This window comes from Homo sapiens, chromosome 10 (genome assembly GCF_000001405.40).
Source record: "Homo sapiens chromosome 10, GRCh38.p14 Primary Assembly".
NCBI lineage: Eukaryota > Metazoa > Chordata > Mammalia > Primates > Hominidae > Homo > Homo sapiens.
In genome coordinates, this window is record NC_000010.11 from 2,300,058 (window position 1) to 2,325,236 (window position 25,179).

At 40.2% G+C, this 25,179-nt stretch overlaps 2 long non-coding RNA genes across 3 annotated transcripts, besides 1 other annotated feature; one reads left to right on the forward strand and one right to left on the reverse strand.

Moving 5' to 3' along the window:
* Nucleotides 1-261: 261 nt before the first annotated feature.
* LINC00701 (long intergenic non-protein coding RNA 701) lies at nucleotides 262-15,017 on the reverse strand. The gene is made up of 3 exons (NR_038884.1): nucleotides 14,973-15,017; nucleotides 6,211-6,252; nucleotides 262-5,679 (listed from the first exon to the last, which is right to left on the reverse strand). It is a non-coding gene; the product is annotated as a long intergenic non-protein coding RNA 701 (long non-coding RNA).
* Nucleotides 14,514-15,713: an enhancer, noted in NCBI's record as "BRD4-independent group 4 enhancer chr10:2356765-2357964 (GRCh37/hg19 assembly coordinates)". NCBI's record gives its function as "activates an origin of replication core promoter dependent on BRD2, P300/CBP, MED14 and CDK7 cofactors, and independent of BRD4, by STARR-seq in HCT116 cells {active_cell/tissue: HCT116}" and the evidence as "EXISTENCE:reporter gene assay evidence [ECO:0000049][PMID:35650434]".
* LOC105376349 (uncharacterized) lies at nucleotides 18,370-25,051 on the forward strand. 2 transcript variants are annotated; one of them, XR_930551.2, is made up of 3 exons: nucleotides 18,370-18,557; nucleotides 22,587-22,697; nucleotides 24,883-25,051. It is a non-coding gene; the product is annotated as an uncharacterized LOC105376349 (long non-coding RNA). The 2 variants fall into 2 exon arrangements; XR_930550.1 differs by lacking the exon at nucleotides 18,370-18,557 and adding an exon at nucleotides 21,971-22,055.
* Nucleotides 25,052-25,179: the final 128 nt, after the last annotated feature.

The following is a 25,179-nucleotide window of genomic DNA, read 5'->3' on the forward strand; positions in this document are numbered from 1 at the left end:
TCTAATTGCAGTTCAGTTTTGTTTGTGCACTTCCTGCCAGTCTCTATTTTGAAATGTCTGCTTCTTATTAAATGTTCTTTAATCTTAGAACCAAGGGTCATTTGTTTTATAGTTCTGGGAAAATAATGAGGAATTTTCTAGAGCCAAAGTCCCCCAAAGTGATAGAGCCCCTCCTCAGCCGTCTTTCTCTCTTGCGGTTACACAACACACTCTCACTACCTACGCAGCTGTTGGGGTAAATGTAAAGAATATAATCATATGTCAAGAAGAATTGCCAAGTAATTTATTTGAACAATGCTTACAATTGTGCTTTCTGCACTTCCTGTGTCTCTAGTAATTCAACCTCCAGCATTTTACTCATGACATTTAATCAATACATGCAAATCACTTCAGGGATCTATTATATCCTGAATTCATTAATCTACTTGGGCAAGAGACAAGCATGTAAGAAGGTTTTCTTGGCTAAGGTCAAAAAGGAGGATGAATAGTATCAAGTTCCACAGTCTCAAGCTTTTTAAAGACTGCAATACCCCAGAGAGGAAGAGGCCCTCTTGGCTTGCTTTTCTAATTCAAGCAATTTTCAGTAAGATACATTTTGCACTAACTTGAGAATATACACATATTGGCACTTTATTATTATTATTAATTATTACTGTTTCTATTCAATGTGATACATGTTGATAAGAATCGCAAAATAAGCATATTTATCTTTCATAGATCAGGATGTTTTCTTCATCACAGAATATAAAGATGAACATAGTGCAGTAAAATTTCACTTGTATCAGTCATCAATAGGAATTTGGTTTATGGCTGCACAAGAGAAAACCAGTCGGATCAGGTGTTCTGTGATGGTGTATCATAAAGTATCCCTTATCCTTAGGCTTTTGCCAAGAGCTGATTTATCAAAGGTCGGAGATAGATACAAATGAAGTTTAATATAATGGGATGTAAGCCAATCAGAAGACTATTACATTCAATTGACATAAATTGAACTATGTTTTATGACATGAGCATACTGTAGTGTTTCAAAATTCTTGTTTTTATTCATAGCAGGGAAGAACAATGAGACATTTCATGATTTTTATTTATTTCTATTCCTTCGTTGCACAGTCCATCTGTTGGACTATTTTTGAGTTGCATTAAAAATTTTAACATTATTTGTAGTTTCATTAACAAATACATCTAAAATGCAATTTTTCACAGGTATGTCTACGTCACATGCACCTGATTTCACAACACACATCCAGGATGGCCAATATGTTGGTGCTTCACGTAGGTTGAGTTTTTTTTTTGCACTGGCTGCTTGCTAACATGATATCTGATGAAGCAGCACTAACACACGATGTGTGTCCACGTGAATGGAGTTTTACGAACATGGATGAGCTAATGTCTCTACAGTGACAGTCCAGTGAGAAATGGCTATCTCGGTCAATGATGTTTCCTTGGCACAGCTGAAATAATGGGGATAGTCTCTGTGTACTGACATGGAAAGACTTCTAGAATATAGTCGCACGTGAGAAAAGCAAAGCATATGACATTGTTTGGGTATCTGTCCCCTCCAAGTCTCATGTTGAAATGTGATCTCCAGTGTTGGAGGTGGGGCCTGACGGGAGGCATTTGGTCATGTGGGTGGATCCCCACGAATGGCTTGGCACTCACTCCATGGAAGCCAGTGAGTTCTCACTCTGTAAGTCTATGCAAGCCCTGGTTGTTTAAAGGACGCTGGCTCTCCCTCACTCTCTATCTTGCTCTCTCTCTCACTGTGGGACATGCTGGCTCTCCCTTTGCCTTCTGCCATGACTGGAATCCTCCTGAGGCTTCACCAGTAGCAGATACCAGCACTGTGCTTCCTATATGGCCTGCAGAACCATGAGCCAAAACAAACCTGTGTTCTTCATCAATCACTCAGTCTTAGAGATTACTTTATGGCAATGCAGATGGGCTGACATCACAGTGAACAGTGAGCAGTGAACTCCGACATGCTGTGCTGTCCTGGATCCTGCACAGAAGGAAAGCAAAGGGTGCATGCGGCTGTGTATTTGCATTTCCTTATGCTTACATAAAGACATCAGAGGAGAAAAACAAAGTAAAGTGGAGGCATCAAATAATCAGTAATAAATAGGATGATGGAGAAAGAAGAATCAGGAACACCTATGAGCTCATCTTTCATGTCCTTTTGATGCCTAGGCTGTAGAAACACATGCAATTTCTTCAAAAACAGCAATGACTCTGATAGTGGATTAACGTTATAGTGACTTGCCTTGATTCCCTTCAAGGGACCCTAACTCCAGGCCTCAGCTGTTGTGAGTTTTAAGTACTAACCACTCATAGCTGCTTTAAAAAATTTTTCCCAGACAGTTGCCCTCACTCTGGCATGGGCTGACTCCTGAGAAATGCTTGGGAGATTGTGTCCATTTCCAATTAGGGGCACCCTACAGCCTATAGCAAACTGACAAGAAGGTCTGGAAGTCCCTTGGTCTCAAGGTGGAAAGGCTGTGGGATGCTGTGCACACCCCGGGGCTTCGCATGGGAGCCAGCTAAACCAGGCTGCAGTCTACACCCCACTGTGGGTATTTTAGTCCCCTGCTTTGTCCTGCTTTTTTGCTTTCTCACTGGTCTCTGCTGACCGCACTCCTCAATATACCCTTTACACAAGCACCTCTATTTCAAACTCTGCTTCTCAGGAACCTGTCTTAAGCCAGATTTTTTTTGGAGCAAAATAAGGAAGTAGAGTGAAGAGAAATAGTCTTCAAGGACCTCCACTGGAGTTATTAAATGAGCCATTTAGATGGATAATTCTATCCTTGTCGGATCTTCTAATTTCTAAAATAGCACATTTTATCCACGATCTCCTCCCCAAAAAGCTAAGTAAGGCACATATGGGTAGAATGATATCACAAGCACCTCTTTATTGACAGTTGGTTAAATGATGGCTAGTATTGGATCCATTGAAGGTCCATGCATTTATTTTCTGTTAATATGATACTAAAGTATACTGAAATTATTTTCCTCTATGGCTTACATGGTGGATTTAATTACCATTATTTAACAATGAGAAATTTACTAAAAAATAACGATGCAGTAGATTTCAGTCAAAGTAAGGAATTTCAGTGAGTAAATGAAATCCTCAACACTTGGTCATTTTGAGGGTATTCAAGGCAGTTCAAGGTCTGTGGTTCCCTATCTTAGGGTGGTGTCACTTTTGGTATCTTGAGCAGGAGGGACTCTAACACAGGAAATGTGGTGCCCACAAAAGCAATAAAAGAGTTGAGGAATTCCAAGGCATCACCTTACGTTGGCTGATCACTTGCAGAGCACCGGGAAACTACAGAAGCCACAGGAGAGCAGCAGAGATCATCCAAGCCCTGCAGGGAAGCCCCAGCTTGCTCCACATTCTCCTGTCTGTTGAGTCTTGACCATTCCTCCTGTGCCTTTGGGGGAGTCACAATGTGGCTTCTGCTTCTCTTTCATCTTTGAAATATCTTCAAAGCTTCTCATTGGTGGGTTATAAACAAACCCAACTGGCAAGGGATCTCCAGAAAGAAGTTCCCATTGGTCCAACCCTTGGGGCAGAGGAAACACCCTAAAAAAGGCAGCATCAGGGGTCAGAGTTGAACCCACAGCGCACCTGCAGGCAGACGGCATCCTTTGGCAAACTGAGAAAACACATTGTAGTCCTAAGAAAGAGAGTTCCCGAAGATATGAACCAGGCACCACCACACCCACTTGGTGTGTGAGTAGAGGCAATGCCAGAAGCATCTAAGGACTTGTCTTCAGGTTTAAGATCTTCTTGCTATGTGTTCTCGGGTTTTGATTTGATTGTATTTAGTAGCATGGAATTGCCCTTTCTCCTGATGACACTGTACCTGGTTTTTAAAAGTGTACTTAACATTTTCTCTCTGCTGTAGAGTGCTTCACACATTCAAATTCAGCACCCAACTGCATGCTTCTCATGCAAAATGCTTATTGATTTAATTTTCTTTTAGTTAAGATGGTTACATTATTTGCTTTCCGAAGATAGGGTGATACACACCAAAATCTTTGAAACTACTGGCTAAATACTTATTACAGCCAGCAGTTTCAAATTTTCCTCAAAAAGTTTATTCTCCAAAACTGAGTGATCTGATTGGTTGGGTCATAGTGAATCCAGGTTCTATTGTGATTCTATGTATCAATCCGTGTATTCATATAAGGGATGGTAAATATTAACACTGATACAACGTCTTCTAGCTTTTGTCAAAAAGACCTTCATTACTGACTCTTGATACCCTGTTTTCAATGTGCTATTAGTTTGATGTTGGGCCAAAATCAATCACCGGTATGTTTTGTCAATATACTTCTTCATATTTCACACACATTATCAGCTGATTGGTGGGTCCCCAAGACAGTAACTAGGCTACTAGTAAAACTAGAAGTTGCTAAATGCATCTCCAAATATTTTATTAACTGGAGTATTACATGTCTTTTTTCTTAGTCTATGGCAATATCTATTATCAACTTGTTTTGGTCAAAAACTGTTTTTTTTGTAAAAAACAAACAGTAAATTAAGCAAATCTGATGACTTTTTTTTTTTTTAGTAACAAGAACTATGCATACAGTTTATTGCTGATATCATTTTATCAGCTCATACTGCAGCCTCTTTTATCCACTGTATCATCCACCATGCTTTGACAACTTGCCAAAGAAGGGAAGGAGATACAGTAAAAGAGAAGGCAACATCCATGTACAGAAAGCAATGTTTTCTCGGAAATCTCAGTATGCCTTCTTCCAGAGATGTGTTAAGTAGGCAGGCATAACTTCAAAAGAATTTAAGAAATACAATTATCTACCTGGCCACTTGGCTGGCTTGGATAAACCTAGGCTTGAGTAAGTGAGGGAGAATAGAGGTGGGGTGTGCAGAAGATGAGCAACAGAATTCTTACCTATGTGGGCCAGGGAGACTTTCCAATCCCATCCGGACACACTGAGGGAGAAAATATGACATTGGCCTCTTCTCCTTGGCAAATCCTTGTTTATCCATCCTCTCGTCTTTGCCCGTGAGAATCTACTCATTTTTGAAGACAAGGTTAATATATATAATTCCTTCAATATACTCTTATTTAACTCCATTTGGAAAAATAATTTCATTTTATGCACTTCTGTAACAATTTATATTTCTATTAGGACAATTATTTACTTAATAAACCATGGAAAACGTTGTTATTGTCTAGCAAATATTCTGGACATTAGAACATTTACAAAGCCATTTAAACAAATAATTAAATGACTCAATCTCCAAAAAGTCAGGGATGCCACAGAAAGAGGGATGCACGCATGCATATATGTGTGTGTGTGTGCGTATGTGTAGTGTGTGTGTATGTGCGTGTGTGTATGTGTGTATCTGTATATGTGTGTATGTATGTGTATGTGTAGCGTGCATGTGTGTGTTGTGTATGTGCATGCGTATGTGTCTGAATGTGTTTGTATATATGTGTGTACACGTGCATGTGTGTGTGTGTGTGTGTGTGTGTGTGAAGTACTACTCCTTCTGGGAAAGGTGAGAAGCCTGGCATGACTGGGTAATTTTATTCAAAGAGGTGGTGGGGTCTAGGGTGCTTTGGTTGCTTACCTATGGCTGTGACCTGCTGAGCCCTGTGTGTCCTGCTGAGCCATGCATCTTCCTGAAGCAGTGAAGCACCACTGGAGGCTTAGCATTGGGATAAAAACAGGAGATCATTCTTAGAGATAATTTGAAGGGGGAAAAATCTTCAGACAAAAGGATCCACTTGGAAATTATTGCAATATCTCTGTGAGGATTGATGAAAGAATTAACTAAAATGTGACAGAAAGAATGAAGAAGATCTGGTCAAGAATTACAAGTCATCATATTTTGAGGACGTTATTGTTGACTATATTAATGTCTGTTTTCCTCACGACATTATAAGGGGCCAATGGCAGAACATAATGTATGCTTTTTTTTAACTCTATAACATTATGCATATATAGAATATGTTTGCCATTTGACTGAATTTATTCTAATTCAATTTATTTTTTCTATTGAATGATATGGGCAATTTAAGTCATAAACACAAATAAACATATATCTTTCATCAGTATTTAAACTATAATACACTGCAGTGCAGAACTCAAATCAGTGACTTAAGAGTGATCAGGGATTCAAATGCAATTCACATCATATAAAAACTGGCTAAATTAAATGTAACAGCAGACCTGATGGGCTCCATTCCAGCTCTTTCTCCAGATGGTTTGTTCCTGTATATGTAGAGAGATGAAAATGAGAAGTGATTATCTTACTAGACTGGTGTCTCTATGCCAAACAGAATTATTTACAATTTTTTGAGATCAATAAAGAACATTATCACTCAAAGAAGAAAAGCCTTCTTTTTTATCGTTTATTTTTTGGGGGCATACAGAGTCTCTCTTTGTCATCCAGGCTGAAGTGCAGTGGTGTGATCTCGGCTCACTGCAACCTCAGCTTCCCGGGTTCAAGTGACTTTCCTGCCTCAGCCTCCCGAGTAGCTGGGATTACAGGTGCCCACCACCATGCTCAGCTAATTTTTGTATTTTTACTAGACACAGGGTTTCGACATGTCAGCCAGGCTGTCTTGAATTTGTGAATGAGACTTGTCTGAAGACAATTCTAGACGAAGTTTTGAAGGAACAGTGGTGACTTCCACCTGTCTATCTTCCTCCTAAACAGCCCTTGCAAGTTTGCAGTCAAACTAACCCTCTACAATGAGGTTCCCTACCATGACCTGTTATCTATTTCCTCTCAGAATAAAATTACTATTCAACTAAAATTTTTGCACCTGCATTGATAACCAATGTTGAAAGAAATAGAACTGCAAGAAGGAAAGCCTTTTGTCTTAGTCCAGGCGTGAAATCTCATTAATATTGCATGTGCCATGGGGAAATGTCTGGTTCTATAGAATGCTAACTCTAACTCAGGCTACAAGGTTAATGTGTTTATTTAACTTAGTGTTTTCAGGCTCATTAGACAGTGTTTAGGCATTATGTATTATAATTATTAATCATATCTCAATGGAGGAAAGAGCTGTTTTCCACCAAATGTATCTAAATTAGCATTCATCTTAGTCTCTATTAAGGTTACCAGTGGAGAATCTAGTGATGTACTAAAAAAGATTATGTGTATGGTTACTATGTGTCTCAATCGATATCTGCATAAGGTTTTTATAATAATTTTTCCAAATGGTTTAGAAAAGAAAAGCACTTACATTTATTTAATTATCAAGTTCTAACTCGAAATTACAATAATAACTGAATTCTGTGAAAAAATATTGATTTTATGCTTTATCGGATCCAGTAAGCAGAGAATATCATAAAAATTCAATGCAGGCTTATTTTTCCAGCTTGCATTTAAAGATTCACAAACTTTAAAGGATATTCATCATCTGTCTTCTTGGGCATTTATGTTCCAATCTATAGCAGTATAATCTCCTTAGGAGTTTGGACTCATATTTTTCTCTTAGAACTTTTACTGAAACAGGCCTGCTTTATCACTGAGCTTGAATCTTAATAGTTTTTCTTTCAAATACTAACCATGGGTTATTAACTTAAATGTTCCCTTTGTGGCTCTTTCAATGAGGCCTTATAGGTATGATTTGTAATTATATCATAGGTTGTTAAGGCTTTTATTTGAGAAATACCATAAAATAATTCAAGCTTCACATCTTAAGTTTAATGTAAAACATCAGAGGGAAAGGTAACAAATGTATTAATCAAACTTATTCTTTAAACAAATTTGTGAAAGAGAAAATGTGTTTAAAGCATAATGTTTTAGTGAAAGAGAAGTAAATTCAGGAATAAGTCTGATAGTTTTATATTACAGATTATCTACTCACTATGTAATCACTTTAATTAAGCCACTTTTTATCCAAATTTGCTTTCCTTCTTTATTTTGTAATGATAACAAAATATGCATATCTTGTATGAGGGTTAAACAAAACACATAAATAAGTCATATGCATTTTTATATAAATCTAGCATTGTATAAGATGTTTAGGGGTTATTTAATAAGAAGACAAACAATACTTTTAATATAAATATAATTAGATGATATTTTTCTGTTCTTTATAGATAGAAATAAACTTTTTAAATCTTGGAGGCATAATAGAATCTAAAATTTTATCCTTGTTCTGAAGGAAACAGTACATCTCCTCCCAGGCATGTCTTCTGCATTTTATCATACACTATACAACCATCCAAAGTTAGAATTATATTCAAATGTTTTACCCCCAAAAATGCACAAGCAAGAGTCTACTTCAGCTAAGATGAGGCAACAGGGATTGGATTTGCTTTTTTTTCTGAAATAACTGAAAAATACTGCATGAAGCAATAAAATTAGAGTTACTGGACATCAGGCAGTGAGGGGCAGTGGCTCCTGAGAGATGGGAAGCAGATGAGGTGAGCCCTATGGTTGCCCAAGCTTAATGCTCAGAGAGAGTTTACCCAGAAGGGCCCCAGAAGTGAAGAAATTAGCACTTGGCTAAATACTGTTCTAGTTCTATCTACCAAAGCTTAATGGCAAAACCTGGTAGAGGTTTACTACATCTAAGTCACTTAACTGCATCCCAGAAAAAAGGTCTAGAATATTTGGTAGAATACAGAAATATCCAACATCACCAAGGTCAAGTACACAAGGTCTGACATACAAACATCTCAGAAGGCATTTTTTTCTTTTCTTTTCTTTTCTTTTCTTTTTTTTTTTTTTTTTTGGAGACAGAGTCTCGCTCTGTCACCCAGGCTGGAGTGCGGTGCTGTGATCTCGGCTCACTGCAGCCTCTGCCTCCTGGGTTCAAGTGATTCTCCTGCCTCAGCCTCCCGAGTAGCTGGGACTACAGGTGCATGCCGCCACACCCAGGTAGTTTTTTGTATTTTAGTAGAGATGGGGTTTCACAGTGTTGCCCAGGCTGGTCTCGAACTCCTGAGCTCAGGCAATCTGCCCGCCTCGGCCTCCCGAAGTGCTGGGATTACAGGCGTGAACCACTGCACCCGGCTGAAGACATTTTTAAAAGGCAGGAAAATATGACCCATAATTAAAATAATAACCAATCACTCAAAATCATCCCCAAAGTGACTTTGATAATAGAATAGTAGATTAGCTCATTAAGTTGAAGTCGTTTTGTAACTGCATTTTATAAGTTCAACAGCCTAGAGAAAGCATTGAGCATATGGAAACCTGGAAGAGATAAAATGTTGCCAACCCTACCCTAATGGGTAAGGAAAACCACTCTCTATATCCCAGTTCTATCAATGGTGAAGAATTCTACTCTAGAAAGCAACTTGAGATAGTATTTTGTCATGTCCTTGGAGTCTTTATTTTTTCAAAACAAAAGCATATCTTTAAACAATATCTTTATGGAAATAGCTTTAGCTGATTGTCAGATCTTTTTACAAACTCATAAGCCTTCAATTCAAAATGTGTAATATATGCATAGTTGTATTAGAAAAAGAAGAAAGAGAGAAAAACACAGAGAAACTATCTGAAGTACTAATGGTAGAGTATTGTCAACAATTAATGACAGGAACTAAACCACAAATCCAGGACAGAGAACAACAAGTAGTGTAAGTCCTGAAATAAGGATACCTACTTCTCACATCAAAACTGCAGAAAGCAAGAGACAAAAGTGAAGTCTAGAAGGAAATTGGGGTGGAGATAGGGATAGGGAGATACCTTCACTAAAAATGAGCAAAGATAAGAAGTACAGCAAACTTCTCATTGGAAGACATGGAATCAAAAAGACAGTGCAGTGAAACATTTAAAGTGAACAAAAAATAACCCATCAGCCTTGAATTCTACCTTGAGCAAAATCATCTCATGAAAGAGAAGAAAAATACACTTTCCAAGGCAAACAAAAATAAGAGAACTCAGTTTCACCATCAGACCTCTTTCACAAAAAATGTTAAAAGCAGTTTTCCAGGCAGAAAATAAATATAAAATAGGTCAGAAATTCCAATCTTTATAACAAAGAAAATACTTCAAAGAAAGAATAAGTAAAAGTAAAATAAAATATTTATTTTTCCACTTATAATTGACTAAAAGAAAATGGTATAAATATAAAAATAATGGTGTATTGTAACATAAATATGCGAAATGAGTGACAGCAATGTCATAAAAGGGAAGAGGGAGGACAGGAGAATGCTTACAAAGTCCCTGCACTACGCAGGAAGTGATATGACGCTACTTGAAACATGACTTACATTAATTAAAGAATCTATACTGGAAAATTTAGGGTAACTGGCAAAAATTAAAAAGAAATATAATTGATATGCTGAGAGGAGATAAAATGAAATCATATAAAATGCTCAATAATAACCAGAAAAGACAGGAAAGGGGGGAGCACAGAACACAGGCAATGAATAGGAAAGAGTTACTAATATGGCTGATATCGACCTACCTACAGCAACTGTCACCTTCAGTGTGAATAGTTTAAATACAGCAATTAAAAGAATGATCAGAAGAAATAAAAAGACCAAAACCTAACTCTATGTTATCTAGAGGAAACCCATTGAAAATACACAGGCTCAGACAGGGTAAAGAAGAGGGAAAGAAGAAGATACAGCAGGCAAACACCAGTCAAAGAAAGGTGGCAAAGCTGCATTAATTTTAGACGAAAAAAAAAAAAAAACTTCAGAACAAGGAAGATTAAAAGAAATAAATGAGGACATAACAGAATGATAAGAAAGTCAATGCTTCAGGAAAGGCAGAGCTCACATCTTAAGGGTGAGGGATGGATGCTTCACCAACAGGACCAGGAACAAAGCTGTGATGTCTTCATTCACCACTCACATCCAGCAGGTACCAGAAGAACCAGCCAATTAAGAGAAAAGGAAACGAGAAGACAAGAGAGGAGAAGGAAAATAAACAGATTCAAAAGGAAGAAATAAAACTGTCTTCATTGTAAATGACAAAATTGATTATGGAGAAAATCCCAAACACTGTCCCCAAAACTCTTGGGACTAGTAAGTGAGCAGTGAGGTCATGGGATAAAAAGTTAATATACAAAAGCCAAGTGCCTACCTGTATACCAGCAGTAAGTCATTAGAATTTAAAATGTAAAAACTTACGATAGCACCAAAAGATAAATATTTACATATGAATCTAATGACTATGCACAGATCTGTATGTGGAAAACCACAGAACTCTGATAAAAGATTGAAAAATAATCCCTAAATAACTAGAGAGGTATTCCACGTTCATGGATTGTAAAGATTCTATACTATTATCAAATCTCCCCAATCTGATCTACAGAGTCAGCCCAATCTCAGCCTAAATCCCAGCATGGTATTTCATAGATATCAAGAAACTGATTCTAAAGTATATATGGAAGGCAAAAGACCTGGAGTAGCCACAAGATTCTGAAGCAGAACAAATTCCAAGACCATCACTACCACACTTCAACACTTTGTATGAAGCTACCATAATCAAATCAGCACCATATTGGACATAGATCTATGGGACAGAACAGAGAACCCAGAAGCAGAGCCACACAAAGGTAGTCTACTGATTATTCAAAAAAGGAGCCAAGCAATTTAGTTGAGAAAATGCAGTGTTTAAGCAAATGGTCCTGGAACATTCCGGCATCCAAAAGAGGAGAAATGACCTCAATTAAACACAGACCTTATGCTTTCCACAGAAATTAACTTAAAATGAAACCGAGGCCTAGCACAGTGGCTCACGCCTATAATCCAAACACTTTGGGAGCCTGAGGCGGGTGGATAACTTAAAGTCAGGAGTCCGAGACCAGCCTGGCCAACATGGTGAAACCACTGTTTCTACTAAAAATACGAAAATTAGCCAGCCATGGTGGTGCATGCTTGTAATCCCAGCTACTTGAGAGGCTGAGGTGGGAGGAATGCTTGAACCTGGGAGGCAGATGTTGCTGTGAGCCAAGATTGCCCCAGTGCACTCTAGCCAGGGTGACAGAGCAAGATTCCGTATCAAAAATAAATAAATAAATAAATAAATAAATAAATAAATAAATAAAGGAACTTAGATGGGAATGTGCAAGGAACAATTATAAAACTACTAGAAGAAAACATAGGAGAAAAATTAGGTGCTGTTGGATTTGGTGATGCATTTTTAGATACAACACCAAAAGCACAATTCATCAAAGTAAAAATTAAAAATTTTTGTTTTTTGAAAGATACTGTTAAGAGAATAAAAAGACAAATCAAAGACTGGGAAAATATTTGAAAACACATTTATATCTGCTAAAGTACTTATTTCTAAAATACACAAAAATTATTTCAACCAGTAAGAAAACGACTCAATGAAAAAATGGACAATAGTTCTAAACAAGCACCTCACTGAAGAAAATACACTAATGGCAAATAAATATATGAAAAGATGTCCAACATCATTTGTCATCTGGGAATTGCACATTAAAATAACAATGGAATACTACAATGTACAGGATGACTAAAATCCTCAAAGCTGGCAATAACTAAAGCTGGAAATCCTATGAAACAATAGGGATTCTCATTCACTGCAGCTGAGATTGGAAGTGTTACAGCTACTTTGGAAGACAGCTTCACAAATTTGTTACAAAGCTAAATATAGTCTTCTCTTAGAACCCAGCAACTGTGTCCCTAGGTATTTACCCAACTGATTTGAAAACTTCTGTTCGTGAAAAACATTATTTTTAGCAGCTTCATTCATTATCTCCACAAACTGGAAGCAATCAAGATGTTCTTAAATTAGTGAATAAATAAACACATTATAGTATATCAATGCAATGAATAGTATTCAATAATAAAAGTATTATTAGATATCTGGCCAAAAAAATATGAATGACTCTTCAGTGCATATTGCTAGATGAAAAGCAGCCTAATAAGGCCATATACTGTGTGACTCCAGTTAGATAACCTTTTGGCAGAACTATGAAGATGGAAAAGGAAGGCCTATGGAGTCAGTAAATGTGGGCTGAGCATAATCCTTTCCTCCCAGATTACAGTAGAAAAGTTAAAAAAAAAAAGGAACTTTACATAGGAGAAACCCAACAAGTACCATCTCAGCCAGGTGCTCACGTTTGACGTCAAAAATGGCAAAGTTGTGATGATGGCATGTACACGCAATATGGTTTCATGAAAATGGCACTTTACTTCTGTAATTTTGCTCCCAGGCATTCCTGACCCTGTCGAGTCATGAGGAAAAACCTCAGATAAATCCCAACTGAAGCATATTCCACAAAAGTCCTGACCAGTACTCCCTCCCCGAAACTGACAATGTCATGAAAAATAAAGAGTCTGGAAAACTGTCATGGCCAAGAAGAGCCTAGGGAGACACAAGGATTAAATGTAATGTGGATTAAATGGATCCTGCTTATGAGATTGTGGGAAAGGGACAGGACTCCCCATAAAAAATAGGTAAACCTGATTAAAGGGTAGGCTTTAGTTAATTAATAAAAATCAACCTTGGTCTATTCATCAGAACAAATGTACCACATGAAGTTAAGTTATTATTAATAGGGGAAGCTGAGTGTGTAATATAGGGGAAGTCTCTGTATTGTCTGTACTTTTTCTGCAAATTTAAAACTTTTATAATTTTAAAATCTTTATTTAAATTTTTTAATTAAAAAAACAACTACAGAGCAAAACAGATTCAGGATTATCTAATTTCCTTGGTAAAACCTGGAGTATCAAAATACACATTTTGATTCAGTTGTAAAATATCTCTTCTGTTTTATAAAATAACTTACACCATCTGCTAAGTTCCAAAGTGCTTAAGAATGCAAACTAAATCTTACCACATCTAAACACTGTAATTGCCCCAAAGTTTGGAAATATAACACCTCTATGAATAACTTGCCTCTTAATTGGCTGATGAACATTTATTTTGTCACTGAATGTTTATTTTTATATGTGACATATGATGACTTTATCCACACGTCAGTGAGTCCTGTATGCTGGCTGCCAGAATGCCACAATCAGGGGAGACTTAGAATTGGAAGTTGTGGACCAGGCTTGGTGGCTCACGCCTGTAATCCCAGCACTTTGGGAGGCCGAGGTGGGTGGATTACCTGAGGTCAGGAGTTCGAGACCAGCCTGACCAACATTGTAAAACCCCACCTCTACTAAAAGTACAAAAATTAGCCAGATTTGGTGGTAGGCACCTGTAATCCCAGCTACTCTGGAGGCTGAGGCAGGAGAATGGCTTGAACCCGGGAGGCGGAGACTGCGGTGAGCCAAGATTGTGCCACTGCACTCCAGCCTGGGCGACAAGAGCAAGATTCTGTCTCAAAAAAAAAAAAAAAAAAAAAAAGAATTGGGAGTTGTGAGTTTATATTCTGGGTCTGCCACTTACAATTATGTTATTCTTGAATGAATGTCTTAAAATATTTATATTTTAGTTTCTTCTTCTGTAAATTTTAAATAGTGATATTTGCACAGATCGATTGGACATTTATTTGAGGTAGTGCATAATAATTGAAAATTTGAATTTTAAATATTACGATTAATATTAAACATTCAATTTAATCTGGGGAAAAATCTGATCCTCTTCTCTGTTTGTGTACCCTCCCCTTGAGCTTCTGTGATATTGGTCGGGATCACAGATAAGTGAAGAACTGATGTCAGAATGGTAGGTCAGTTATATTTCAAAGAAGACACTGCTAGCTGGAGAAAAGCGTAGTTCCAGAAAGTAGGAAGTGGGTGCAGCATCCAAGGGCATGGAGGGGGAACTCAGGGGATAGAGAGAAGAGGGGGCAAAGAGGAGAAATCTGCAGCTCATTGGGAAGCACCCCTCATTCATCAGAGAGAACGATGAATCACTGAGCAGACTTTTCTCTAGGAAGCACAGTTCTACCTTCTGGAAGTAGCCATGGTTTTGTTTGTTTGTTTCCTGTGTCGTGGCTCAGGGAATCAGAGATTCTTATTTAATAATAATAATTTTAAAAAGCTTTCAGGATTTGGCACAATTTCTGGTTAAATTAGCTAGAAAAAGGAAATACCGAAGAACAGGGGCCTGCTCATTCCCGGCATGCTGTGCGTCTCCTCTGGAAGGACTGGGCGTGCCCGGCGTGCTGTGCGTCCCCTCCGGAAGGACTGGGCGTGCCCGGCGTGCTGTGCGTCTCCTCCGGAAGGACTGGGCGTGCCCGGCGTGCTGTGCGTCCCCTCCGGAAGGACTGGGCGTGCCCGGCGTGCTGTGCGTCTCCTCTGGAAGGACTGGGCGTGCCCGGCGTGCTGTGCGTCCCCTCCGGAAGGACTGGGCATGCAGTCTGTAGAGTCCGTCCACACGAAGAAGACTCCCATCCACACCTTCCAGGTGGACCACCTGCTACATGGAGTTAGAAGCCAGGAATCACGTGACTGCCCGCCCAATCGTGACCCATCACAGGCTCTGTGCACAAGGCGAGTGGTATTGAATGAAGCTCACCTCATTTCATTCTTGTGCATACATATAAGGCCAGGAGTGAGTTGACTAGACAGGTGTGTTGATTGTAAGCCATCCACAATTCCTAGGAAGAGATATTTTGCATGCATACATGTGCTTATTACTTATCGACAGTGGGACCGTGGTCCCCACAGAGACTCTTTGGTGGTGAGTGGTCTGCTGCTCACTCAGCAGACACCAATGCCACGTGCAAAACAGCCTCTGATCAATTCACTGGCTTTATTTAACACGCATCAGAAAGCCTGGGGCCTAATTGTGCTGCTCCCAGGCAAGCGTGTCTTTGGTGGCCATTTTTCTAACTGAGGAAATAAAAAGACATTTTTTTTTTCTCCTCCCACAGAATTCGTCTAAGGTTTCCAAAAGAAGCATCAGCCCCAGTCAGAGAAACCCCAATGTCCCAGTCCCTCGTAGGAAGGCAGTGTGTGTGTGCCCCTTAAGGAGACCACCATTGCAAAATTATGACAGAAACAGTGAAAGAGCTCTAACTTAGCTTACTCCGTCTTGCTTCTTACCTCCAAGCTGTCCTCGTTCCTTCCTGGGTATAGGCTGAACTAACTTTGGGAGGAACTTAGTTTATAGTTTAAAACAAAGACAATAATAGCCCTTTCCCAAAGCAAACCTCCTTCTTGCCTGGGGACTAGACCGCTTTTGTAGGACCTACAAATTAGCCGCAAGATTAGTAATTATGGTTTAGGCGTCATGTAGCTGGAGGCTACAAGATTCTGACCCTCCCTAAAGCGCTCCTAAGATCCGTGCTTGAGGTATTTTACAGACCCTGCACTTGATGGATCAGCTGGCACCACCCAGACCTGCAAACTGGCTCATCCGTTGTGGCCCCCACCCAGGAACTGACTCTGCACGAGAAAACAGCTTCGGATCCCTATGATTTCATCTCTGACCAAACCAATCAGCACTCTCAACTCACTGGCCTTCCCCGCCCACCAAATTATCCTTTACAACTCTGATCCCCGAATCCAGATCAGGGAATCTGATCTGAGTCATAATAAAACTCCAGTTTCCCACACAGCTGGCTGTGCATGAACTACTCTTTCTCTATTGCAATTTCCCTGTCTTGATAAATTGGCTGAGTCCAGGCAACCGGCAAGGTGAACCCACTGGGCGGCTACATTACCACGGCTCAAGGCGTTGTGCTTGGAGCCTACGTCCATGGAAGAGGAGGACTCCGTCATGGAATTGTGAATCATGTCATTTTCTGGATCAACAGAGGGTCACACTGACTACGCGGCCCTATTTTTCCTGGCTTTCTGTCTGTATTGCTGTCTTATCAGTTTTATTTTGTTTTGTTCTGTTTTACTTTGTATTATTGTTATTTGTATTACAAGAACTTTTCTAATTAGGAAGTAAATTCAATTAAGGATACTCAATGATTTTCTGTATGTCTCAAATAGCTGGCACAGTTCTTTATAAACCACAAATGGCAAATAAATATAAATATTCTTTTTTTTTTTTTTTTTTTTTGAGATGGAGTCTCGCTCTCGCCCAGGCTGTAGTGCAGTGGCGCGATCTCGGCTCACTGCAAGCTCCGCCTCCCAGGTTCACGCCATTCTCCTGCCTCAGCCTCCCGAGTAGCTGGGACTACAGGCGCCCGCCACCAAGCCCGGCTAATTTTCGTGTGTGTGTGTTTTTAGTAGAGAGGGGGTTTCACCGTGTTAGCCATGATGGTCTCGATCTCCTGACCTCGTGATCTGCCCGCCTCGGCCTCCCAAAGTGCTGGGATTACAGGCGTGAGCCACCGCCCCCTGGCCAAATAGTCTTATTTATAAATTGAGTACAAATGACTGCAACCAAGTATAGCTGTTTCATGGTTAAGATCCCAGAGATGAAAATAACTCAAAATTGAAACTCTTTTAATCAAAGGCATTGAAAGGATAAGGGAGAAAAGCAAATTCCTCACAAATGACCTCCTAAGTGGTCATGAATGAGCCTATGCTGTGACTTGCACCACAGCTATTCCTACAATACATGTCCTCTTTCTCCTGGGCAGTTGGACACGTGCAAAATAGTGCTGGTGGGCGGGTTCGAGTTCACTCAGTAGGAGCAAGCTCGGAGTGGGCGGGTTCGAGTTAACTCAGTAGGAGCAAGCTCGGAAAAGGCAAAGCTCTGACATTTGCTTTGCTTAGACAGCGAGATCTTGTCGCCCCAGACCCCTCCGTTAGTTCCTTTCTCGTAGAAAGAATGGGCTGTGCAGCTGCTCAGGAGCTCATCCTGTCCAGGCTGAAGGCAGCAACGGTGCACGTGCGGGCTCCAGGCTTTCAGCCATCAACATTGCTAAGGCGCATTTTTGATCAGTGAGACCTGTCATGCTTTTAATACCGCTGGGCAATGCTGGGTTATGCAGGTAGCGACCTGCTGAGTGCTGCAAAGAGTTTATGCTTTGGGTCATTGTTCCAAGAGTGAAGTTAGAAAACAGGAGCTGTGCAAAGGATGCTGCAAGGATCAGCCGTCCATGCAACCCCAGTCATGGGAGCTTGAGGCACAAGGAGGAGGACACAGGACGCTTCGAGGATCAGCCGTCCATGCAACCCCAGTCACGGGAGCTTGAGGCACAGGGGGGACCTTCCATTTGCTGTGAGTCGCTTGGAGAGAAGGAACAGGGACTCACGTTAGGGGTGAGGGCGTTTGCCCAGGGGTGTCTGTGAGGAGGTGACCTTGTCAAGGAGCAGCTGCTTTTCTCAGCCGCCAACTCCTCATGGCATCTTCCCTCCTGCGGGGAGATGTTTGCCAATGGACAAACTCCACATTGCTCTCTCCCACTTCCTGCTCAGAGTAGGCAGGGTCCATAGAGCTTGTTATTAACCAGGAAACTGTATTTTCTCTCTTCTTACTCTAAGTAATTGAAAGAATGACCACGCAGAGAAGAGATGTCTCTAAAATTCACTTCAATAGTGCTCAGTTCAAACTAAATTCACTTCAAACTCTTCCAGGCACAGACATTTAAAGTCATTTTTATTGAGGCGTGATTTGGGGTGTCCTGATAAGAAGAGGAGCTGAGGACACAGACATGTCCAGCGGGACCTTGGGAGGACATAGAGGGAAGACGCCTTCTGCAAACCACTGAGAGAGGCCTCGAGGAACCAGCCCTGGCCGACACCTTGATATGGGACTTCCAGCCTCCAGGACGGTGAGGAAACACGTTTCTGTTGTTTGAGCCACCCAGACTCTCGTGTTTTTTTATGGTACCCTTAGGCAATCAATACGGCATAGTTTAAAAAGGTAAATGGTATCAAGATGTATATAACACAAAGGCAAGTACCCAACCCTCCTCTGTCACCCCTCAGACGATGCTAGTGCTGGGATTACAGGCATGAGCCACTGCGCTTGGCCCTGGAATTTACCTTTATGTATCATTTCCTCTATCAATTACTCATTAATAAACCTTTTCTATTGCTATTTATATGATGCAAAAGGGAGACTTACAGTATCTCACTCCCTGCTTCTTAACCTCAATCACGTTAACATAGTGTGAGGTCACCTCAGTCTAATCACTTCTCATTTGATCGGATACTGACAATTTAACTATGGATTTCTCTCGCCCAAGCAGCACACTGCGCACCCTTGGTTTTTAAATGAGCAATAATGTAAGGCTTAAATATTGTATGATATTTTTATTTATTGCAATCGTTTTTTCTTAGAAGAGTGAGCAAAGTGAAAACCAAGAGATATATTTTGTTGCTTTTGCACCTATTTCAATTTCAGATAATTAACTTTTGTGCTATTAAATATCATTCTTCCAAGTAGCAGTTTCATTCTGTTTTGAATGAAATAGAGCTGGATCTTAGAATAACAGAGATGTTCTTAGAATAATATAGATGGATCTACATCTTACCCATTAAGCCCTCATTCTGCAGGTAAAACACTTAGTCCAAACAGATGCAGGGACCTGCCAATGGGATATAAACGTAACATCCATGCTTGAGAATGGATTCTTTCACTCTCATCCCTTTGCACAGAAGACTCCAGGCAGAAAAATTATACAGACCACATTTATTCTACTTCTTCCATTGTTCCAAAAGTTGATACTTGGGATCCATTGAGGTGAGTTTATTTTCCTTACACAGAAATAGATTGCATGCATGCACTTGGCAAAACCTGTAGGTTTCACTTCAGAAACATTAAGTTCCAAAAAGGCTACATCAGCCCCTGCTTTACCCCTGAGTTCCGTGCACTACCTGCTCGTGTCTCCAAATACGGCAACAGGTGCTTTCCTCTTTGAGATATGATGTATTAAATATAAAACTTTAGATACAAATACAGCCAGTGACACGGTATTTTATATATTAAGATTTATTTCCTTAACCCTATTACAATGTCAACATTGCAAGTTTCCAGCCTCTTTTAGCGTAAAGGTTAACCATCTCCCAGGGGAGTTGACACAAGGTTGTTCCCTATGTCCATTAAGACTTATTTTCTCAATTTAAGCACTTATTAAATTTCCTGAGCTTTCATTACTTTTTAATGAAAAATCTTTGGGAATGCAGTTTAAACTCCCTCCCCCCACCACACACACACACACACACACACACACACGTAGGTGGTTTAGTGTCTAGTGGGAGAATGTCATTCAGTGAGGGATTTTTTGGAGAAATACACATTAGGACCCTGTTTGGAGAGTTGATTGTTCTAAGGCAGGGAACAGAGACTTCCTCTGCTGAAGAGGAGAGGTGGGCAATGTGATGGCTTGCGTTAAGCTGGGAGACCTGGGGCTTCACAGTCCTGTTCTTCCTCATAATTCGTCCCACCAAACATTTCTTGAAACCCCTTTACCCACCCTGTGTGCTCTTATCTAACCTTCACTGGACCTTCATTCTCACCTCTGCTCAGCTTTTTATTTTGGGAGTGGGAGGGGCCAGGTATGTTTGCTTTCTTCTTCCTCTCCATTTCCTCTTTCTTTTTCTGTATACATTTCTTGAATTTCATTATCCTTGGATAGGCTGCATAATAGAGATGTTTCTGCAAAAATACATTTATTTATTTTTTAGTATTTCTTTTTTATTTTATTTTTTTTTTTTTGAGAAAGAGTCTCACTCTGTTGTCTAGGCTAGAGTGAAGTGGTGTGATTTCAGCTCACTGCAGCCTCCGTCTCCTGGGTTGAAGCAATTCTCCTGCCTCAGCCTCTCAAGTAGCTGGAACTGAGCATGTGTGCCACAATGCCTGGCTATTTTTTTGTATTTTCAGTAGAGACAGGTTTTCTCTGTGTTGGCCAGGATGGTCTCAAACTCCTGGCCTCAAGTGATCCACCTGCCTTGGCCTCTCAAAGTACTGGGATTACAGACGTGAGCCACCATGCCTGGCCAATACATTACTTAATACAAACAGATTCTGCTAATAGTGAAGTGAGATGTGTGTAAGGAAGAGAGGAAGGGGAGACAAATTTAAATCAGTTAAAATCTCTCACTTAAAAATTTCAGAAAAAAATTAATTCTCTCAATTTATGTGAATTTAAAGATGCTGGACTTGGTTTATCAAATTAGACATAGGTATGATACATGTACAAATAAGCACTACTTGGTAGGTTGACGGAAAAAAAGATGAAAGCCAATCAGATTTTACACAAATAAAAAGAAAGAAAAAATGTTTGATGTCTTCTTATTTTTGAGTTGCTGCCTTGCTCCCTCACCCAGGCTGGAGTGCAGCGGTGCGATCATAGCTCACAGCAACCTCAAACTCGTGGGTTTAAGCGATCCTCCTGCCTCAGCCGCCCAAGTAGCTAGGACTACAGGCATGCACCACCATGCCTGGCTACTTTTTAAAACTTTTTTGTAAAGATGGGGTTTCTCTCTGTTACCCAGGCTCGTCTTAAACTTGTGGCCTCAGGAGATCCAACAACCGTGACCACCCAAAGTTCTGGGATTACAGACATGAGGCTTTGCACCAGGCCTGCTTCATGCCTTAATTTCAATATCGGCCCTACAGTTTCCTTGGCCAATAATTTTCTCCTACATAGTAGGAAATTTATGACTGTGTTTTCCTCTTAATAAAAGTAAGATCTTAATTTTTATTTCCAACATGTGGGTTTTTACTGAATAGAATTTATGAAATGCAAAACATAATTGATTATAAGTGCATTAGATCCTAATGCCATTTCAACAAGCAAAGTGTGGAAACCTGTGCAGATTGTTTTGTAAGTACAGGCTCACCCTGTAGCTATTGCAGGATCACCACCACACCACGCACGTGGCAGTAAAGAGAGCCATGAAATTGATTGGCTTCCAGTGTGTATAAAAGGTATATTTACTTATACAGTAGCCTATAAAGTATGTAATAGCATTATGTCTAAAAAACAATATGCATACCTTAATCAAAAAATAATTTATTGCCAAAAAATGCTAAGAATGATCTAAGCCTTCAATAAGTCATCATTGTAATCTTGCCAGGAGGGAATCTTGTCTCATGTTGATGGCTGCTGACTGATTGGGGTGGTGGTTGCTGAAGATTGTGGTTGCTGTGAAAATATCTTAAAATAAGACAACAATGAAATTGGCCTCATTGATGAACTCTTCTCTTCATGAAATATTTCTTTGTAGCATGTGATGCTTTTGAAGCGGCATCGTCTTCTGGGGCAAATACCCGAGGTTCATTGTCTCAGGCCAAGGAAATCAAGGATGTGGACACACAAGAAGTGAGTTTAAGAGTGTAGGTTCAGGCCGGGAGTGGTGGCTCACGCCTGTAATCCCAGCACTTTGGGAGGCCGAGGCAGGTGGATCATGAGGTCAGGAGATCGAGACCATCCTGGCTAACATGGTGAACCCCGTCTCTACTAAAAATACAAAAAAAAAAAATTAGCCGTGCATGGTGGCGGGTGCTCGTAGTCCCAGCTACTCGGGAGGCTGAGGCAGGAGAATGGCGTGAACCCGGGAGGCGGAGCTTGCAGTGAGCCGAGATCGTGCCACTGCACTCCAGCCTGGGCGACAGAGCGAGACTCCATCTCAAAAAAAAAAAAAAAAAAGGAAAGAGAAAAGCTCTCTCTCCTGCAGAGAGAGGGCTCCTGAGTGGGTCTTCCGGTTCTGTGGTAAAATGCACAGCGTTTTAGACGATCTTGAGTAGGTGGTGTCTGATTTACATAGGGGATGAGAGATTAGTTGGACCAGGTGTGCCGTTTGCACAGTGTGTGAAGAAGCTAGCCATCCCACCCTCATCTTTTATTATGCAGATGCGGTCTCTACCTGGCCTCCCCCATGTTGACTGCTTTTGTACTGCACCCATGGAGACAAAGAAAAGACAAAGAAGACGGAACCTCCATGTTGAATATACCTGGTTCCAGGTATCCGTATTCTATTGGCAGGGCTTCCAGCACTTACCTAGGCAAGCTTCCAGCTTGCTTATCTATGTCTGCAGCCCGGTTTTACAGCTGCTTTTTGGGAGCAGCTTTTTATTAAAAGGAAACCTTACAGAGGACTCTCATCCTCACTATCTGCTTAAATGATTTCTTTCTAGCTCCTGTATCACTATTTAATAGCATTTTAACCACAGTAGAACTTCTTTCAGAAGCAGAGTCAATCCTCTCCAATCCTGCCACCACTTTATTAGCTAAGTTAATGCAATATTTAAATTCTTTGTTGACATTTCAACACTGTTCACAACATCTTCACCAGGAATATATTCCATCTCAAAAAACAAACAAACAAAAAAAATTTGTGATTATTCATAAGAAGCAACTCATCTGTTTTATCATGTTTTATCAAGTTTTATCATGAGATTACAGCAATTCAGTCATATCTTTAGGCTCTACTTCTAATTATACTTCTCTTTCTATTTCCACTGCATGGGCAGTTACTTTCTCCACTGAAGTCTTGAACCCCTTAAAGTCATATTTCTTCCAAACTCATGTTAATGTTGATATTTTTACCTCTTCCCATGAATTACAAATATTCTTAATGGCATCTAAAACGGTGAATCATTTCCAGAAGCTTTCCAATTTGCTTTATACTGATCCATCAGAGGAATCACTATTTATAGAACTATAGCCTTATAAAATGTATCTTTTAAATAATAAGAGTTGGAAATGAAAATTACTCCTTGATCCCTGGGCTGCAAAAGGGATGTTGTGTTAGCAGGCATGAAAACGACATTCATCTTGGAGCTCTTGGGTGAACAGGTGCATTGTCAGCAGACAGTCATATTTTTAAAGGACTCTCTTTTTTGAGCAGTAGGTCTCAATAGTGAGCTTAAAATATTCAGTAAATCATTCTATAAACAGATGTGCTATCATCCTGGCTTTGTTGTTCCATTTATAGAGCACAGGCAGAGTAGATTTAGCACAAATCTTTTTCTTTCTTTCTTTTTTTTTTTTTTTTTTTTGAGATGGAGGCTCGCCCTGTCACCCAGGCTGGAGTGCAGTGGCACAATCTCAGCTCACTGCAGCCTCCACCTCCCAGGTTCAAACAATTCTCCAGCCTCAGGCTCCCAAGTAGCTGGGACTACAGGCATATGCCACTACATCTGGCTAATTTTTGTATTTTTAGTAGAGATGAGGTTTTGTCATGTTGATCAGGCTGGCCTCAAACTCCTGACTACTCAAGTGATCAGCCTGCCTCAGCTGGGATTATAGGCATGAGCCACTGCACCTGGCCAATTTCACATAATTCTTAGGGGCTCTAGGATTTTCAGAATGGTAAATGAGCATTGGCCTCAACTTAAAGTCACCAGCTGCACTAGCCCCTTAACGGGGGAGTCAGCTCATCCTTTGAAGCTTTGAAAACAGGTATTGACTTCTCCAGCTATGGCAGTCCTAGATGGCATCTTCTTCCAATAGCAGGCTGTTTCGTTTCCACTGAAGATCTGTTGTTAGTGTAGTCATCAATGATCTCAGCCACACCTTCTGCATAACTTGCTATGGCTTCTCCCTCAGCACTTGCTGCTTTATCTTGCATTTTTATGTTACGGAGATGACTTCTTTCCTTCAATCTCATGAACCAGCCTCTGCTTGCTTTAAACTTTTATTCTCCAGCTTCCTCACCTTTGATTCTTCACAGAATTAAGAGTCAGGGCCTTGCTCTGGGTTAGGCTTTGGCTTAGGGGAATCTTGTGGCTTGCCTGATCTATCCAGGCGACTCAAAGTTTCTCCACATCAGCAATTAGGCTGTTTTATTTTCTTACCTGGAAAAGCACTTTTAGTTTCCTTCAGTAGCTTTTCCTTTGCATTCACAACTTCATTAACTGTTTGGTGCAAGAGGCTTAGCTTTGGCCTCTCTTGACTTTCAACAAGCCTTCTCCACTAAACTTAATAGTTTCCAGCTTTTGATTTAAAGTAAGACGTGTGCAACTCTTCCTTTCACTTGAACACTTAGAGGCCATTGTAGGGTTAGTCATTGGCCTGAGTTTAATATTGTTCTGTCTCAGAGAAGAGTGAGGCCCTGGGGGAGGGAGCGAGCTGGGAAATAGCAGAACACACACAATCTGAAGCAGTCAGAACACACACAACATTCATTAAGTTTATTGTCTTCCAGGGCGAGGTTCAGCAATTACAATAGTGACATCAGAGATCGCTGATAACAGATCATCATCACAGATGTGATAACAAGAAAAAAATGAGATATTTTTATCATTGATGTGATGGCAAATATTGAGTATCAACTTGATTGAATTGAAGGATGCAAGGTATTATTCCTGGGTGTGTCTGTGAGGGTGTTGCCAAAGGAGGTTAACATTTGAGTTGGTGAACTGGGAAAGGCAGACCCACCCTCAGTCTGGGTGGGCACCATCTAATCAGCTGCCAGCATGGCTAGGATAAAAGCAGGCAGAGG